This window comes from Homo sapiens, chromosome 15, assembly GCF_000001405.40.
Source record: "Homo sapiens chromosome 15, GRCh38.p14 Primary Assembly".
NCBI lineage: Eukaryota > Metazoa > Chordata > Mammalia > Primates > Hominidae > Homo > Homo sapiens.
Window position 1 is genome coordinate 27084282 of NC_000015.10, and position 18703 is coordinate 27102984.

At 43.3% G+C, this 18703-nt stretch overlaps 1 protein-coding gene and 1 long non-coding RNA gene across 3 annotated transcripts in view, besides 1 other annotated feature; one reads left to right on the plus strand and one right to left on the minus strand.

Annotated features, from left to right (window-relative positions):
- GABRG3 (gamma-aminobutyric acid type A receptor subunit gamma3) overlaps window positions 1-18703 on the plus strand; it is a 570804-nt gene that overhangs the window by 113101 nt on the left and 439000 nt on the right. The gene's annotated exons all lie outside the window — the stretch shown is intronic.
- Window positions 2911-3411: an enhancer, noted in NCBI's record as "H3K4me1 hESC enhancer chr15:27332339-27332839 (GRCh37/hg19 assembly coordinates)". NCBI's record gives its function as "activates a minimal SCP1, AML or CMV promoter by ChIP-STARR-seq in naive H9 embryonic stem cells {active_cell/tissue: H9 hESC(naive)}" and the evidence as "EXISTENCE:reporter gene assay evidence [ECO:0000049][PMID:30033119]".
- On the minus strand, window positions 2989-16628 carry LOC107984766 (uncharacterized). Its single transcript, XR_001751460.2, has 4 exons — window positions 16542-16628; window positions 14535-14671; window positions 4336-4399; window positions 2989-3073 (listed from the first exon to the last, which is right to left on the minus strand). It is a non-coding gene; the product is annotated as an uncharacterized LOC107984766 (long non-coding RNA).

Consider the following 18703-nt stretch of genomic DNA (forward strand, 5'->3'; position numbering starts at 1 on the left):
GGTTACAGCCTCTTTTTCATTTTTGCTTCTGAGTTTTCCAGGCACATTTCTTATTTTTTAGAAAGACAAAATTCTTAGTGTGTGTGTCTCTACCTGGCAAGGTGCCTCCAAATGGGAAATGGAGGTTATTCTGCCCTGACCCTCAGCCAGAATGTTGAGATATGATGGAGATTGCCTCAGTCTTTAACCCAAGGTTCTTTTGTAGTGAGACAAATAAGCAAACACTGAGAAGACTGGTCCTGGTGGTACAACCATGAATGTGAACCTGGGCACTTCAGGCTAGCCTGGGGCTGCATGGCACAAGAGTCAGAGAACCTTCTGGAAAGACTGTTCAGTCTTTAACCATTATAGTCAGTAGTTAACTAAGTATGTCTGTTTTCGTCATGGGGACCAAATAATTAGCAAATTGGGTACTGTGTAGGAAAACCGTCCTCAGCCACATGGAACAGACTCTACGCTAGTTTTACCTGGATTCAGCAACTGACCACTGACCTCCATCACTGCAGAAGCCAGGAGGCCAGGGTCTCCAGGGGGGTGCCACTCTCTCTGAAGAGCTGCTTCCTGGGCTCTTCAGAGCCCCCTGCAAACAGATGGGATCAACATAAAACGTGGCTCTCCTTCTGACACTGTGTCTTCTTAATTCTCTGTGTGAGCACCAGCCCTAGGGGCCACTTCCACAGGCCCTGGGACATGTACAGTAGTTGAAGGGCCTCTGATCTTAGCAATTCATAGAAGTGACTTTTGGCAGTATTCGTCAAGAAGCACTTCAGGCTTATTCGATACTCAGCAGGTGCATGTTTGAATGAGAGTATCATGCACCACATAAGAGGGCAAATAAGGGTTTCATTTCAAGGCTGGTGTGAACAGTCATTCTGACACTTGTGTGAGAACCCTGGAGGAAGTGCTGGAGAGGAGGGGAGTCTGACCTCATGGGATGTCACATCTCTAGGCTGTGATCTTGTTATTTGTAATTTTTTGCATCATAACAGATCACCTTTCACAGACTTAATAGATCTGCCTCATTCTGATTGAGGCAAAATAACCTATAGCACTGGTACACCAGCTATTTTTTAACCAGTGTGCTATTGATGGTGTCTTCAGCTTTTCTCCAAACAAATCAGTTGGAAATATATTTACACAGGCACCCTTAAATACTTTTAGGAATATTTCTCTGGGATATGTGCCTAGAAATTCAACTGCTGTTTTCAAGGTCTATGCACTTATATTTGTATAGTTACTGCAAAATTTCATTTTAAAAAATTTGAAATATATTGTCTCAAATTACTCCCATCAACAGTGTAGAAGGTTGCTGTTTTCCCTCTGACAATCACTGCATAACATCAATTATTCTAACTTAAAAATTGCTAATCTGGTGATCAATAACAAACTTTTTTTTGTTTATGAACTATGATAGGGAGAGATTGAATGAAACAACACAGGCCTGCATTGGAGGGAGGTAGCAAGCTTCAGTTAATTTGAAAATATCAAAATGCTAATTTTAAAATACAATAAAAATTGTTCAGCTTATTTTTTCTCCCTAGCATATTATTTTAGTATACTGAAATCCTTCCTATGTTCTGCAAATCTACAATGATCATCTATGCTCTTTGGATATATCCTGCTTTTAGATTCAGAATAGTGACCTGTGTACTTTATAGTAACTAACATTTTAAACATTTCATTGAAGAACTTAAAACCAACTCCAAATTTGCATTATATATGGCAGAGCTCAACGTAAGAACTTCCTGTTTTATCAGCTTCTAAACTTTCCTTGGTTTTTAAGATTAAATATTACATACAGTTTAACAAAATTGAACCTTTTGGAGTTTTGGCAGTTTTTTTTTTTTTTTTTCTTGTAAAGGACATGGAGTAGAGGGAGTAAGGGGTCAGATAAATGAATATTTGTGGATCCGACATGCCAGGCAACAATTCATAAAATATTCCCTAGGAGCAGGAGGAGGAAGGGTCACTGGTGGAAGAAAGAACCCCCCTTCATCTGTGAGCAGCCTGCTCCTACTGGGGACAGAGCAGGTCAGAGTTCTGCGCATTTACAAAGGCAGCATGGGTTGTGGGGGAGGTGCAGTTCCAGATCCATGTCTGTGTCACTCGGGCACGTCTCTGAGCTTAGACTGGGAAGTCCAACTTTATCTCTGAAAATGAGCGCTGTAGTTACTACCCTGCCTCCCCTGCCAGAATGTATTGAAAATCCAAAGAATAATATGTATGACAGCACTTTTCAAATTGGAAAGTCCTATACAATGGAAAGTTGTCAAAACTGTAATTAATGTCAACATGGAAAGGAAATTGAACAAAAATGAAGTTATTGTATTCAAAGCTTTATAACATACATTTAGGTTAGTTCCACAAGCATTTTTTCAATGGGCGGTTTATTTGAATTGCTGCTGCTTAGGTAAAGCATGCAAAAAACATTCAGGTTTGCCTGGATTTGCTGATTTATTTCTGTCAGATTGAAAATGTTTTGTTTGTAGCAGTTTCTGGTGGGGAGAGTTTTGAGTTCTGGAGGCTCTCTCTGAGGTGCTGTCCTGGCTTCTCTGAGGCCTGCTGGGTGAAGCACTTGCCTTCAGGTCGTCCTTGTGGGCCACTGTGTCTGTGGTTCTTTCCATAGCTGGATGCAGGACAAGGGCAGGGACAGGGAAAGGAACCCCTCTGGGGAGCCCAGACTTCCGTTTCCAGAAAGTGTCTGCAGGCCAAAGAAAACACGCAGTGCCCAAATCACATCTTTGAGTTCTTGCTTCATGAGCCATCACAGTAACAGGTTGCACGGGGCCAGCCCCCGTGCTTGGCTGGACTGACTGGAGACTGAGAGATGGGTGACGTGACCTGAGAGGCCCCTTCCAGTCTGCGTCTTCAGCAGCGAGGGAGTTTGAGCTGATCGAAACCACACTTGACATCGAGCGAGGCTGCTGCTCAGTGAGGTGCAGCGGGCATGTCTATGCCATGCCAGGGCATGGGAGCCTTGACCTCTGGGGACTTGGTGCCAGGGCAGGGGCCTGAGTGGAATCCCGGCCTGCATGCTTCACCTCGGGGTCCACAGTTCGTGTTCTTCTGAGCTCTGTAGGATGAGTGGCTCACTGAGCATTTATTGACAGCCTACTTGTGTCAGACCGCCTTGGGGTGCTGGCAGCACAGTGGTTCACAGAACAGTATCTGTGCACTCACAGAGCTGACACTTGAAAGTGTGGGCCAAGATGACTTTTAAAAAGGACATGTGAACATGCCACATGGTGATAAAGTCTTTGTGGAAAAGTAAAGCAGGAAAAGGAAGTAAGGAGGGCCTGAGGTGTGTGCATGTCAGGGTGAATGTGTGTATGCATGTATGCAAATGTGTGAGATTGTATGTGCTGTGCATGCATCTGTGTGTGCATATGTGGTGTGCTGTGGAATGTATGAGTGGGGGTGTGTACATGTATGTGTGTGGTATGTACATGTACTTGTGTGTCTGGTGTGCTGTAGTGTGTGGTGTGTGTATATGTAGGCACATGTGTGTATGAATGTGATGTGTGTATATGAGTGTGATTATGTGTGGTGTGTGTGCATGTGTATGTGTGTGTAATGTGCTGTGGGGTGTGTGTGGTGTGCTATGGGGTGTGTGTGTGCATGTGTGAGTGTGGTGTGCTGTGGTGTGTGTGTGATGTGCTGTGGTGTGTGGTGTGTGCTGTGGAGTGTGTGTGTGCATGTGCGTGTCTCTGTGTGTGATGTGCCATGGTTGTGTGTGTGCATGTGTATATGAGTGTGTGATATGCTGTGGTGTTTGTGTGTGGTGTGCTGCAGTGTGTGTGTGAGTGTGTGTGATGTGCCGTGGTTGTGTGTGTGTGTGTGTGTGTGCACGCATGTGTGTGGAGAGGCCTGAAGCAGCTGAGGGTGTGAGTGGGCCTGGAAAGGCAGCCTTGCAGGCGGGCTCACGTTTGTTAGATGGGCGCCGCGGTGCGTTCTGGGAGTGCTCGGGGCGGGCGCGGGGGCGGGCGCGGGGGCGGGCGCGGGCCAGGAGTGGGAAGTGGTGGCTAAAGGTGGGGTCCTCGTCCTGGCGCCTCCAGGGCTCTGGGGAAGCCCCAGGAGAAGGAAAGGGTGCGCTATTCAGAGGGCAGGCGCTCGTGGGAGGCAGGGCTGGGAGTCTGCAGCCCCAGGGGCTTTACTCTGGCCAACTGGGGAGGCTGTGTGCCGGGCAGGCTGCGGGTGAACACTGCCTGTATTAGTCCAGTTCTCACACTGCTGTGAAGAACTATCTGAGACTGGGCAACTTTTGAAGAAAAGAGGTTTCATTGGCTCCCAGTTCCGCAGGCCTAACAGCCTGACTGGGAGGCCTCGGAAACTCACAATCCTGGTGGAAGGCGAGGGGGAAGCGGGCTTCTTCGTCACGTGGCCAGGAGAGAGCGAGCACCTGAGGAGGTAAACAACCAGAGCTCCTGAGAACTCACTATGGAGAGCAGCATGGGGGAAACCGTCCCCAAAATCCAGTCACCTCCCACCAGGCCCCTCACAATTGGAGGTGAGATTTGGGTGGGGACGCAGAGCCAAGCCATGTGAGTGCCCGAGGAAGCGGTGCTGCACTTTGCAGTAGAGGACTCTGAAGGGAGACGGGGTGAGCCATGGGGGAGATGCATGGGGAGGATCACAGCCTTGGCTGGGAAGGAGGGGAATGGGGCTGTGCCGGGTCCAGGGCATTGAAGCCCGATGAACACGGGAGAGCCTGGGGGTGTCAGGCTGGCTGGCGCCGGGCTCTGGAGCCCTGAGCAGGGCGTCTGAGAGCAGAATGTCGGTTCTTAAGGCCTGGGCAATGACCAGGCACATCCTCTGGAAGATAAGAGCTGGGGCCATAGGGCAGGAAGGACCGTGGAAGGACCAGACTTGTGGGTGCAAAGAATGGACAGGAAGCAGGGCCTTGGGGTCAGGAGGAGCCGCAGGGAAGGCAGAACGGTGGCCAAGCATTGGGGAATCAGCTGCGGAATCCACAGAGCGCGACATTCCCTTGGATTGGAGAGGACAGCTCGTCTGCAGGCAACTGGGAGGAGCGAGGTGGACCTGCTGCCTGCAGTCCCCATGGTATAGACACTTTGGGAGGAGGGTGCAGGCTGCAGTGTCCTCTGTGGGGAGCACACCAGAGGCTTCTTGTCCACATTCTAAGTCTAGTCTCTAGGGCAGGCTGGCATTAGTATGGTTCAGTCACCTCCCCAGGTGACTCTAGGGTACATCCGGGGTCCATAGCCCTGGAACCAGACTCAGAGTTGAAAGGCAGTTCGGAGACAAGCATGTGTTTGCACAGGACTCTACCGTGTGTGACCATAGTAGCAGCCCCTGCCAGGCCTCAGGGTAGGCGGGGGAGAGAGGCTCTTGGATTGGAGACCCCCGAGCACAGGGCACAGTGGCAGATCATGCAGGAAGGCTGTGGTCATGCGAAGGGAGGACATCTTGCCAGGACGGCAAACACTCATCTGCTTTCTGCCTCTGTGCATTTGTTCGTTCTGAATATTGCATGTGAATGAAATCATATGCCATGTGGCCTCCCTCTTGTGACTGGCTTCTTTCACTCAGCATCATGTTTTCAAGGTTCATCCATGCTGCACCCCGTGTCAGTACTTCATTCCTTTTCATGGCTTAATAATATTCCACTATATGGATATACCACATTGTGTGTGCCCATTCATCTGTTGATGGGCATTTTAGTTGTTTTCACCTTTTAGCCATTTTAAATAGAACTGCTATGAACATCGGTGTACAAGTTTTTGTTTGAACACCTGTTTTCAGTTCTTTTGTGTATAGACAGGTAGTCCCTGACTTAAGATTTTTTGACTTTACAATGGAGTGAGAGCACTACACGCTCAGTAGAAACCATACTTTTGAGTACCCACATAACCATACTGTTTTTCACTTTCAATAAATTACATGTGATATTCAACACTTTATTATAAAGTATGTTTTGTGTTAGATTATTTTGTTGAACTATAGGCTAATAAAGAGCTCTGAGCATGTTTAAGGTAGGCTAGACTAAGCTATGATGTTTGGTAGATTAGTTGTATTAAATGCATATTTTACTTAAAGTATTTTCAGCATATGGTGGGTTATCCGTAGGTAACCCCATTGTAAGCTGAGCAGCACCTGCGTTTAGGAGTGGAATTGTGGGTCATATGGGAATTCTATGTTTAACTGATTGAGAAACTGCCAAAGTGTTTTCTATAGCAGCTGCACCGTTTTACAGTTCCACCAACAACCTATGAGGGTTCCAATTCCTCCACATCCTCTACAACACTTATTTTATTTTAGTTTCATGGTCATCCTAGTGGCTGTGAGGAGGTATGTGATTGTGTTTTTGATTTACATTTTACTAATGAATCTAGGATGTCTTTCTATTTATTTGTGTTTTAAAAAAATGTTTCAACATTTGATAATTTTCAGTATACAAGACTTGTACTTCTTTGGCTAAAATTATCCCTAAGTATTTTTGACTCTATTGTAAATGAAATAGTTTTCCTACTTTTGCTTATTGCTAGTGTGTTTCCTCTTCAGGCTTTTTATTGCTGGCATATGAAATTGGTGCAACTGATTTTTGTTGAGTTGATTTTATATCCTGCAACACTGCTGAGTTTGTCTATTAGCTCTAACTGTGGGTGTGTTCTTATATTTTATACATATAAGGGTGTATCATATGTAAGTAAAGATAGTTTTATTTCTTCCTTTACTATTTGGATGCCTTTTACTTATTTTTCTTGCCTAATTGCTCTGGCTTGAACTTCCAGTAAAATGTTGCAAAAGAGGGCATACTTGTCTCGTTCCTGTTCTTAAGGGAGAAAGGGTGCAGTCTTGTCATTGAGCATGATGTCAGCTGCAGATTTCTCATACATTTTATCATGTTGAGGAAGTTCTGCTTCTAGTTTATTGAGTTAATTTTTCATCATTAACAGATACTGTATTTTGTGAGTTCCTTTTTTGGTATCAATTGATCATTTTGTTTTTCTCTTCATTCTGTTAATGTGATGTATTGCATTAACTTTTTGTATACTGAATGACTGTTGCATTTCTGGGATAAATCCCACTTGATCATGATGTATAATCCCTTACATGCTACTGGATTCAGTTTGCTAGCATTGTGTTAAAGATTTTTGCATATATATTCATAGGGGATATTGTTCTGTCGTTTTCTTTTCTTGTGATGTCTCTTCCTGGCTTTGTAATGATGACCTCATAGAAAGAGTTAGAAGTTTCCTCCTCTTCTATTTTTGGAGGAGTTTGAGAAGGACTGGTGTTGATTCTTCTTTAAATATTTGGTAGGATTCCCAGAAAAGCTATCTGATCGTGGGCTTTTCTTTGCTGGAAAGTTTTGATCACTGATTCAACCTCGCTGTTTGCTCTAGATCTGTTCGGATTTTCCATTTTCTTTGTGAGTCACTTCCCTGCATATGTCTTTCCAGGGAAACCCCTGTCAGGTCAAAACCAACAAACGTGGTTCCTTGGGTATAAGATCCACTCTGCTCTTTCCAGAAATGTCCACATGGGAAACTCGGCCTGCCCTATTCAAGATGGCTGCTGTACTGCATCGTGGGGCAGAGCTACGGCAAGCTAAAATCCTGCAGTGTTCTCCTGTCCTGTTTCAGTGGCAAACATTCCTTGGTTGTTATAACCCTGTGGCTATCTTTCGGCATGCTGGTAAGGTTGATTCTGCCAGTTTTTGTCAAGTTTTTCAGCATTTCTTAGGAGGAACACCCCAGAGGTCCCTGCTCCACCACTTTTGCTGATGTCACACCTGTTAAATAAACTTTTCTTACGCACTCACTGTTTTATGAAGCAACAGTTCTTTTACTGTGGAGTTTAAAGAGTCTCATCATTTTCCTCTCTCACCTGGCCCTCTACGGGAAGCACCCTCTGATGTCCCATTCACCCCGGGCTTCTGTGTCTGGATCACACCAGCCATGTCATTCTGTTATGACTCAGTTTACTAGTTTTTGACTTCCTTTCTGACAGAACTGGGGAATCTTTAGGGGGGATGGTCTCCCAGATTTGAGTCTTATAAAGAATGCTTCTTTGTGTGTGTGCATTTCCAAATAAATGCAAATGAGGCAGGGCGTGTCTTTCATGTTTTCTCTGTTATCCTATTTTTATGTGTCCATGTTCATCTCTCTGCTCTCCTCTCCCACTGTCTGAGACCTCACTATCTGGTCCTGCCTGCCTTGGACAGCTGTTTGCTGTCAGGTAGCTGCTGTGTAAGGACCCGCAGCACTCACAGGTAATGGTTGTTCCTGTGTCTGCAGCAACAAGCGGATGCTCTGGAGGCTCTGTGTCGTGTTGCCCCGTCCGTGTGAGCTGCCGTGCAGCGGACTGTGCTTAATCTCGGGTGATTTAGTGCTGGAGAAAATAACAGTCAGGCCAGCCATTGAAAAATAGATGTGCTTATCAAATATGTGTTTGCTTTGTGTGCAAGTTGAATTACAGAGTTTTCAGAACAGGAAGGGCGGGACCTTTGAGATGACTTGCTCGGTGTCTTTGTTTTACAAAATTAAGGAATGGAATTCACAGAAGTCCATCAAACAGCAGCTCTCTCCCTCCCAGAAGAGTGTCCCCCCTGCAGCCCCACATAATTACCAGTATCTCCATCCACAGGGTCTTCTCCTTGAGTTTTCACTAGACTTGGTCTGGTAGCTGAGTTTGTAGATTCCTGCATGGTGCAGTTGAAAGGGAATTGAGAAGGGGCCTCCTTCTGTAATTTGTTTTCCTGGCACACATCCCCAGTCACTGAACCCTACCCCACGGACTCCTCTAGACAGGCAGCCATTGGGTTGAGAGAGAGGATCTCCTCTAGAGTGGGTGCTCACTCAGAGAGTGCCTGAGCATTGTATCCTGGGCACCTGAGGCTTGAAGCTAGTGAGGAAGGGAGTGTAAAAATGAGAACGGAACAGACCAATGTCACATGTGGCCAGGTTGGTGAGGTGGAGGCAGGAGAGCTGTGATGAAGTGGAGGGGTGCAGCCAGGCTGACTCAGGCTCTGACACTTACTGCATGACAGTGAGCAGACCCTTACATGCCCTCCTCATTGGTTTTCCCATCTGTGCAATGGGATGATGATGATAATAGTCAGGAGTTCTGAGAAGAGCGTATGAAGCACTGAACAGTCCACTGGTGCTCTCTGAGAGTCAGCTGTCATGACATCGTAAGTACTGTTTGTTATGAGCTGCTAAGCCCTGCGGCTCCCTGCTGGAGTCGGGGACTCTGCTGTTCATATACACAAGGCCCAGTCCTGAGTGTGCATTCTCTTGACTTCTAATGTTGATCCTTCTATTGGACATACAGAAAGATTATGCATGGTCGTAGCTATGATGTTTTGTTAAAAGAAAGGCCCTTAAAATTTTTATTTTTAAAAATTTTAGAAAGATATCAGGCTAGAAAATTTTGGCAACAATATTTGGGCACTCAAGATAGAAACCCAATTTCCAGTATGATGGATACTCTGTAAGTCAGAGAGTGACATAAAGAGCCCTAAAAAAGGAACTTCAGAAGGTATTGACACTATTGCACCTTTTTAAATGTCGAGGTCCCTTCAGCGTGTAAATGGGTTCATGCCTTACTTCATGCTGGGAGGCACAGAGCATAGTGGCTCACAGTTTGGTCAGAATACCTGGTTTCAAGGCCAGTGCCATGGGACACCTTCTCAGCCCCATGACCATTCACATAAAAAATAAAGATGTTATTAGCAGTATTAGTCCTCCTGCCATTGTTCTGACACCTGATGTTGGTTTTATGCATGCAGATCACATTGCACAGTCTTTGGCACATGGGAGATGCATATAGTTACCCTTAGTGGTTGCGAGTATTTGCTCCATACAGCCCACAGACCTGAATTAAGCTGGCTGCTTCCACGAGTCCTGTCCTGGGTTCTGTGCCAAGGACCCAGGTGCTTGCCTTTTCCATTTTAGAGTGAAGGCCACAGCAGTCAAGCCTTCAGAGGCTGCAGGGGTGAGCATTATTTCCTCATTACTCCTTTGGAGACCAGGGGTCAGAAAGCCGGAGTGCATGGCCCAAGGCATTTGAGGTGATGAGGGTTTCCAGATGAGGACTATCAGGCTCTGCAGCTTTTTATTGCACCAGCTGCCTTCTTAAAAAATTGTCTGCCTCCATATTTGCAGTGTACTTGGTCTAGAAAACAGTGTCTCCCAGTCTCAGCCCCAGATAATAGATGATCTTGTTTTAATGTGTTTGGAATGTGGCCATACAGATGGGATTGACCTTCCTGGATTCTAAGAAAAGCTTCTGGGCCTGAGGAGGCACAGATTCCTGGGGCTCAGGAAACATAAATAGAGGGAAGCAGTTCTGCAGGGAGCAGGGAGAGCCTTCCCTTGTTGGAATTGGGCCTGAGAGCATTATGTCACCTACATTTGCAGAGATGCCTGTCTCTCAGAGGGTGGAGAGTGTAGGACATAAATTAACTCAATAAACTAGAAGCAGCACTTTTATGCTTTGTGCAGCATAAACTCAAAAGATTTGCTTTTCTGATTACAAATAGATATTTATTGTTAAAATTTAAAAATATAGCAAAGCACAAAGAAGAAAAAATCCTAGATATTACCATTTAAATTTTAGTATATAGTTTTCCAAATATATATATTATGACAACAAACATACACACAATTTACACTGAGAATAGCATTTTCTAGCCTGTTTTATACACAAGACACATAATTATCTGTGTCTATACCATAGTTTCTTTTCTTTACAGCTGTACCTCAAAGCTCTGCCTCAGTGTTTAACCCTAATACACTCTCCACCCTCTGAGAGACAGGCATCTCTGCAAATGAACAGGACTGGATTTTCGCCACACCGATGTCTCCCATTGTCAGTTTTTTAAAAAATGACATTTCAGTAACAAATTCCACCAGGACTTTGGACTTAGACTGTCTTATCACCGTCATGTCAGCAGCAAACAGCTCAGGCCCCTGTGTGGCTGGCTCTTGGCAACTCTGTTGAATGAAGGCATTTATATGGTTGTTTTGGCAAAAGTGCATGGATTACAGAACTTCACTGTGGTATAAGAATTGGTAAATGCATATGCAGACACACACATGCTTCTGTGATGATAAAAGAGAGTTCTGGAAATCAAGACACACCCCATATACTTTCTTGCGACAGGTGTGGGAAACACACGCTTTCTCATCACAGTGATTTCCCTTGTGTAGGTCTCGGTCTCCACATAGATGCTGGCGAATGTGCTGGAAGGTGTGGTATCTCACAGTGAACTTCTTCCTCGTGGCGTTACACGTGGTTGTCCCTCATAATTTAATTATTTGTAAAGCTGTCCCACAATTTTCATAACCGAGTGTATACTCATCACTTTCTAGCAGAGAATGATGCCACAGCATGGGAGAGGAGACAAGTATCATCTGCTCCCTATTCTTTCACTAAACTTAGGTTTTTCTCTTTGGATGTTGTGCTCCAAGCAGTGAGAGGCTGGGACTTTAGTGTCCTCCCAGTGGAGCGCAGGAGGAGAGACCTGGTCCGGGAAGCACGTGCCTTCCTCCTGGCTCTGCCTCTTCTGACTTCCTCTTCCACACCAACCCGTTTTCAGACACGGATGCCTGATCCCTTCTCTGCATGCAGAAACTGAGCTCCTCCTGGCTGCAGGATGTCCCCCAGGACCCGCCTTCCCTTCCTGGGCACCCACAACAACTCTTCCATTTCCAGCGGTTCAGCCCAACCTGGATTATCGCATCTCATCAACAGCCACCATATGGTCAGCCTGGCAGGCTGCAGATCCTTGCATTTGGAAATGCTCCAATTCATCACATACGGTTCCCAGCAAAGTATAGCCAGTCAGCTCATACTAACTCATGACAAATTGTTCTTTCACGATTCACAGTGGGCACCGTCACACAAAGCAGGGTTCTGGTTTCTGCGTGTCTTTTCTTCATGTTTGTCATTTAGTTTAGCAAATATTTATTGAGCACAACTGTGTAGGGGCTCCAGGCTCAGCGCTGCTGAGGATTCTGAGTTTCATCAGAGGAAGTCTCTGCCCTTCAGGAGCATCTAGTGCAGTAAAGGGATAAAACATGTCCACAGACATCTGGTCAACCATATGAATCATTGTTCCTCTGTTGTATTTTGCAGATCAGAAAAAATTGTATCTTTCAGCAGAGAGATGATTAGTTAATTGCTCACCTTTGTGCTCACAGCTTATTCATCTTTGGACTTTGAAGCCAGGGCTGCTGAGCTGGAATCTCAAATTGTCTTAGGACAAGGATCTCTGCACAAGGCATGAAATTAGAACCAGCATTTTCCTTCTCATTGTCAGTAGCTCTGTGTATACATTTCATTTTTGTATCTTCTGGGAGGGACCAATAACTATAAGATACTAACTTCTGTTTGCATATGTTTTTCAAATCTGGAACCAGTTTCCAAATAATTAATAAATTCATACTGGGTCAGAAAAGGGACCAGTTTTGGATCCTGTCCACCTTCTTTTTGTATTTGTTGTTGTTTTTCTATTGCTGTATGTGTCCAACTCTACGTGAAAGCACTTGTGAACCACACAAATGAGATTCTTTTCTTTTCTTTCTATCTTTTTTTTTTTTTTTTTTGGGAGAATGTGTCTCACTCTGTTGCCCAGGCTGGAGTGCAGTGGCCCAATCTCGGCTCACTGCAACCTCCACCTCCTAGGTTCAAGCAATACTCCTGCCTCAGCCTCCCAAGTAGCTGGGATTAAAGGAACATGCCACCATACCCGGCTATTTTTTTTTTTTTTTTTGTATTTTTAATAGAGACAGGGTTTCACCATGTTGGCCAGGCTGGTCTGAAACTCCTGACCTCAGGTGATCCTCCCGCTTTGGCCTCCCAAAGTGCTGGGATTACAGGTGTGAGCCACCGCGCCTGGCCTTGAATGCTTTTCTAGTGTCAGATCCTTCTACCAGACTTTGAGCTCTGGTGGGCAGATACTTGGAGATGCTGGCCCGCTGCTGGGCATGTAAGAAATGGAAAGGCAGAGGAAGCTGCCCAGAAAGGCTGCAGATGTTTTGAGGCAAGAGTATGGGCTCCTGGGGACCCTGGGTACTTGGGGCTTAGAAAGAGGGCCCTATTTCTCTGGGCTTAGGAAGAAAGAGTATCTTCCCTGTAGACACAGCTCACCTCATTCACAACTTTTCCTGAGGCATAGAAAAATTTTATTCAGTTATTTTTACCTTCTCTCCTTCCCTCCTTCCCTCCCTCCTTTACTTCCTTTGTTTTTCTCTTTCTCTTTTTCTTTCTTCTTGTCTCTCCTTCCTTTTTCCAACCACTCCCAATCATTTTTGTCTTTCAGGATTACAGCTTTAATTATAATATTCTCTAAATTTTCTGTTCACCCTGCCGCAGAGACACTTAACTGGTGCGATTCTGTCTCCCACCTACCCAGTCCCCACTGAGTGACTGGAGGTGTTCTGCTGCTGAAGCCTGGGGGAGGTGTGCTACTGGCAGTGAGCGGGTCAAGGCCAAGCAGGCCACTCAACAGCCTGAATATTCAGGAAAGGTCCCTCCCTAAGGAATTAGCTGGCCCAAAATGTCATACTGTCAAGGATTTGAGAAGTGCTGCCCTGGAGAATAAGGATATCTATGATAAATGACATTATGATAATATTACAAGCCTGCTGTCATTATTAGCTAATTTTTTTCTTCTTAAATCTATTATTCTTTTTTTTTTTAAATCAGATGTCTTATAAGAAGAGAAGGAATTAAAAGAAAAAAAAAAAGAAACTGTAACAACAAAGTCCTGGGTAACACACAGAAAGAGTTAGGCCTGAATGATTTGGAGTTATCACAATTTTAGTATTTTAAATTTTTGTTAATATGCTCTGAGAACACAGGAAGAGAAGATTCAGTCTTTTAAAAAATACTGAATGTTGGCCAGGTGTGGTGGCTCACGTCTGTAATCCCAGCACTTTGAGAGGCCAAGGCGAGTGGATCACCTGAGGTCAGGAGTTCAAGACCAGCCTGACCAACATGGTGAAACACCATCTCTACTAAAAACACAAAAAATAGCCAGGCGTGGTGGCAGGCATCTATAGTTCCAGCTACTCGGGAGGCTGATACAGGAGAATTGCTTGAACCTGGGAGGCAGAGGTTGCGGTGAGCTGAGAGCGCACCACTGCACTCCAGCCTGTGTGACAGACAGACACTCCGTCTCAAAAACCAACAACAACAAAAATACACAAAAAAACTGAATGTCAGTATCTCAGAACCTAATTTTGAAGATATGATATCCTTTTTTTAAAGCCAACTTGACTTGGGCATTAGGAAGAGGAAATATTTTGTTCGTTTTTAAATAAGAAGTTTGACAGTTGTCATCAAGATTATTTTAAAGAGTTTGAGCCTTCCCTAAACCTATTCCAGGATTTGGTACTGAAAGTCTCCTAAGTCTAGTAGGACAAGCAAAGTCTCTACTTGTCCAAGTAAATTAGAAATTCTTGCAGAATTCATATGTGGCAAATTATCATATGGAAAATGACAAAAATAAATGATTCCAGAAACATAAAAACCCTCAATATACTAGATAAAATGTGTCATACCAGAGAGTCTTCTAGTGCCAGTCAAGATGGAGCTGCCCCTTTGCTCTTGGTTTCCTCTTAGGACCAAAAGTCCCTGGTCATGACAAAACAAGCCAGCACAGGAAAAGAAGAAGGCGGATTGCCTGGTGACCTTGGGACTTAAGGGACAACACATGATGAGTTAGCCCCAGTCCCGTAATATGTCCAAAGTGCCGAGGATATGATCAAAACTCACTTGAATTACAGCAAAACAGGAAAGACACCCTTGAATAAGAGAACGAAATGAGTTTTGCCAACAGCAAGATGAATGAGATGTTGTAATTATTGGGCAAAATATGTAGTATGCAGAGAAAATACTTAGACAATTACATCTAAATAATGAGGACAGTAAAAGGACCTAAATGGAAGTAAGTTTTCTACACTTCACTCAAAGTGCTAAGCCACTCTGATGACAGTAGACTGTGCTAAGTTGTTGCGTTACTTGCTTGGGCTGCCATAACCAAGCATCACAGCCTGGGCACTTTATTTTCTCACCATTCTGGAGGCTGGAAGTCCAAGATCATCAGGTTTGGTGTCTTCCGAGGCCTCTCTCCTTGGTTCCTAGGTGGCTGTTGTCTTCCTGTGTCTTCGCATGGTTTCCCCTGTTTGTTTGTGCCTGTGTTCAAGTTTTCTCTTCTTATGATTTTTCTTTTTGTATTAGATTAGAACCTACTGTAATAGCCTCATTTTAACATCATTACGTCTTTGAAGACCCAATCTCCAAATGCAATGACACTCTAAAGTGCTGGGGCCTAGGACTTTAACATTCGAATTTTGGAGGGACACAATTCAGCCCCTAACATTTATGTATTCATGTTGTAATATCCAGAGCAACCACAAAGAAAACTGTACAAGTAATATACTAAAAACATTATGAATAAAAAAAAAATCCCATAAAATGTTCAAGAATCCCTGGAAAGATAAGAGAAGTAGAAGAATGAGAAACAAAGGGGAGGAAAACACAAAAAACCACCAATCATCAATATTAGCAATGAAACGTGGTCTATCACTATAGATTCTACAGCCACTAAAGGGATAAGTTGAGAATACTATAATAGACTTTTAACTAATAAATTTGACATTATTCTAAAAATCAGAATTGGCCGGGCACGGTGGCTCACGTCTGTAATCCCAGCACTTTGGGAGGCCGAAGTGGGCAGATCATGAGGCCAAGAGTTCGAGACCAGCCTGGCCAACATGGTGAAACCCCGTCTGTACTAAAAATACAAAAAAAATTAGCTGGGTGTGGTGGTGCATGCCTATAATCTCAGCTACTGGGGAGGCTGAGGCAGGAGAATGGCTTGAACCCAGGAGGTGGAGGTTGCAGTGAGCCAAGATCGTGCCACTGCACTCCAGCCTGGGTGACAGAGCAAGACCCTGTCTCAAAAAAAAAAAAAAAAAAAATCAGAATTAATGGACCAGTTTTTTTAAATTCACTATCTACCAATAAAAGAAGTGGAAACCTGAATATTCTTCTACCGATTAAGTAATTGAATTAGTAATTAATGTTCCCAAAAAAGAAATCTTGAGTTTTATATGGTGTAACTGGAGAATTTTACCAGTCAGCTAAAGAAGAATTAACACCAATTCTACAAAATCTCTTCCAGAAAGCAGAAGAGAAGGAAACATTCCCCATCATTTTTTATGAAGCTAATATTACCTGATACCAAAACCAGATAAAGACAGCATAAAAAAGAAAAACAACAGAGCAGTTTCTTTCATGAACTTGCACGCAAAACTCCTCAACAAATATTAGCAAATAGAGTCCTGCAAAGTTTAAAAGAATTATACATCATGACCAGGTGGGATTTCTTTCAGGTATAGAAGGTTGATTCAGCTTTCAAAATCAATCTGTGTGATCCACCATATTACAGGCAAAAGAAAAAAAATCATACAATTATATCATTTTATGCGAAAATGTATTTGACAAAATATAATACTTATTCATGATAAAAACTCTCAGCAAACTAAGAATAGGGGAAAACTTACTCAGCTTGATACTAAGCATCTACAAAATGCACGCAGAACTACAGGTAGCATCAAACTTGATGGTGAAAGACTGAGGACCAGGAACAAGGCAGGGATGTGTGGTTTCACTGTCATTTTCAATGTCGCACTGGAAGTCCTAGCACCTGCACGTGGCAAGAATAAGCAATTATTAGGCAAGTAGATTGGCAAGAGTAAAATAAGTGTCCTGATTTACAGATAAGCTGATTGTCTACATGAAAGTCACAAGGAATCTACCAGATAATCCTAGGACTTGTGAGTTCAGCAAGGTCTCTGGATAAAAGATTATCACCCAAATTCAGTTACATTTGTATATAATAACAAAAATCATGTGAAAACCAAAATTAAAAACATAATAGTTTTTACAGTTGCTTCAAAAAATGAAATACTTAGGTATAAATCTAACAAACAGGTACAGAATCTATTAATATATGCTGAAAATTATAAAATGCAAATGAAAGAAAGCAGAGAAGCCCTAAGTAAATGGAGAGATGTATTTTTTCATGGATTGGAAGATTTAACATAGTAAAGATGTCCATTTTTCCTTACGTGATCTGCAGGTTTAATGCAATTCCTACCAAAATCCAGACAAGCTTATTTGAAAATTTTCACAGAACAGTACAACACCTAGAATAGCTGAAATAGTTTTGAAAAAGAAGAATGAAATTGGAGGAATTAGTCTGCCTGATTTCAAGCTATATTATATAGCTACATAATCAAGACAGTGTGGTATGGCAGAGGAGTAGACACATAGATCTGAATGGAGAATCCAGAAATGAACCCATGCAATTACATCGACCTGTTTACTGACAAAAGTGCAAGAGCAATTCAATGGAGGAAGAAGGCACTGGAACAACTGGGCATCCATAGACAAAACAAAAACAAAACAACACCCTAGACCAGGGGTGTCCAATCTCTCGGCTTCCCTGGGCCACACTGGAAGACCACAATTGTCTTAGGCCATAGATAAAATACACTAACAGTAACGATAGCTGATGAGCTAAAAAAAAAAAAAAAAAAAAAAAATTCTGAAAAAAATATCATAACGTTTTAAGAAAGTTTATGAATTTGTGTTGGGCTGCATTCAAAGCCATCCTGGGCTGCACGTGGCCTATGGGCCACCAGTTGGACAAGCTTGCCCGAGACTTTAACCTCACATCCTATACAAAAACCAACTAAAAATGAAATATAAAAGATGTACCACGTCCGGCCTCTCTACGTCCATGTGAACCAAGCCACGCCATCGTGGACTCCCCTGATGTGGGATGTCTTCCAAAGTGGATCGGTACTCCTGAGCTCTGTGTTTCAGCAAGGCCCGGGAGTCCCATTACACACATGGGCTGCTGCCAATGTTAGGAGCTGGGAGAGCTAGTCAATTCATTTCAGTCTTAAGAACATAAAATTCTGAAAATTGCTGTGTTCTACACAGTTTTAGAAATGAGTTTGGTTTTTGTTATGACTTGCTTCTTTCTTTGAGGATTTGGAAATGACTAATCAGAATTTCCACGAGGGAGCTAGAAACTCGAACTGAGCTCTAAAAACTGATTAGGAGGCCTATTCCTTCTTATGAGAGGTGTTCAGATAAATGCCTGGGCTCCATAATAACAATAACAACAACAGATCATAATACTAATATTAAATTTTTATAAAATCATGCTTGGTGACAACTCTGTGCTTTTGGCTCACTGGGTGAGAGGATTTTCTATTATGGTCGTGGGGACTGCATTTGTTACTTAAAGTCTATTTGGTAAGTGTATGGAATCTTTGGCTGAAGATTATTCCTTGGTCACATAACTATAAACAAGTTACTTTCTTCACTAGGTGCTTCAGGAATACGATGCTATGGGTTGAATTACAGTATTTCCACCATATAATTGTGAGCTTACTTCTCCTAATAAAAGTACTAACAAGTAAATAGATTTTAATAACCACTAAATGTCATGTGTGGTTGTTAATATCTTATTTACCGACATAAGTATATAATTTGTATGTGTTGATACTTTTTCTTCCATAGTACTCCCCCAAGTACCACCGGCATTAAAAACTAACCATGTCTTAAATATTGAAAATTCCAGGAAGAACAAATAAAACTGCCATTGATAAAAATGATGTAGCTCTATTTCTAATGAATACTTTCTTTAATT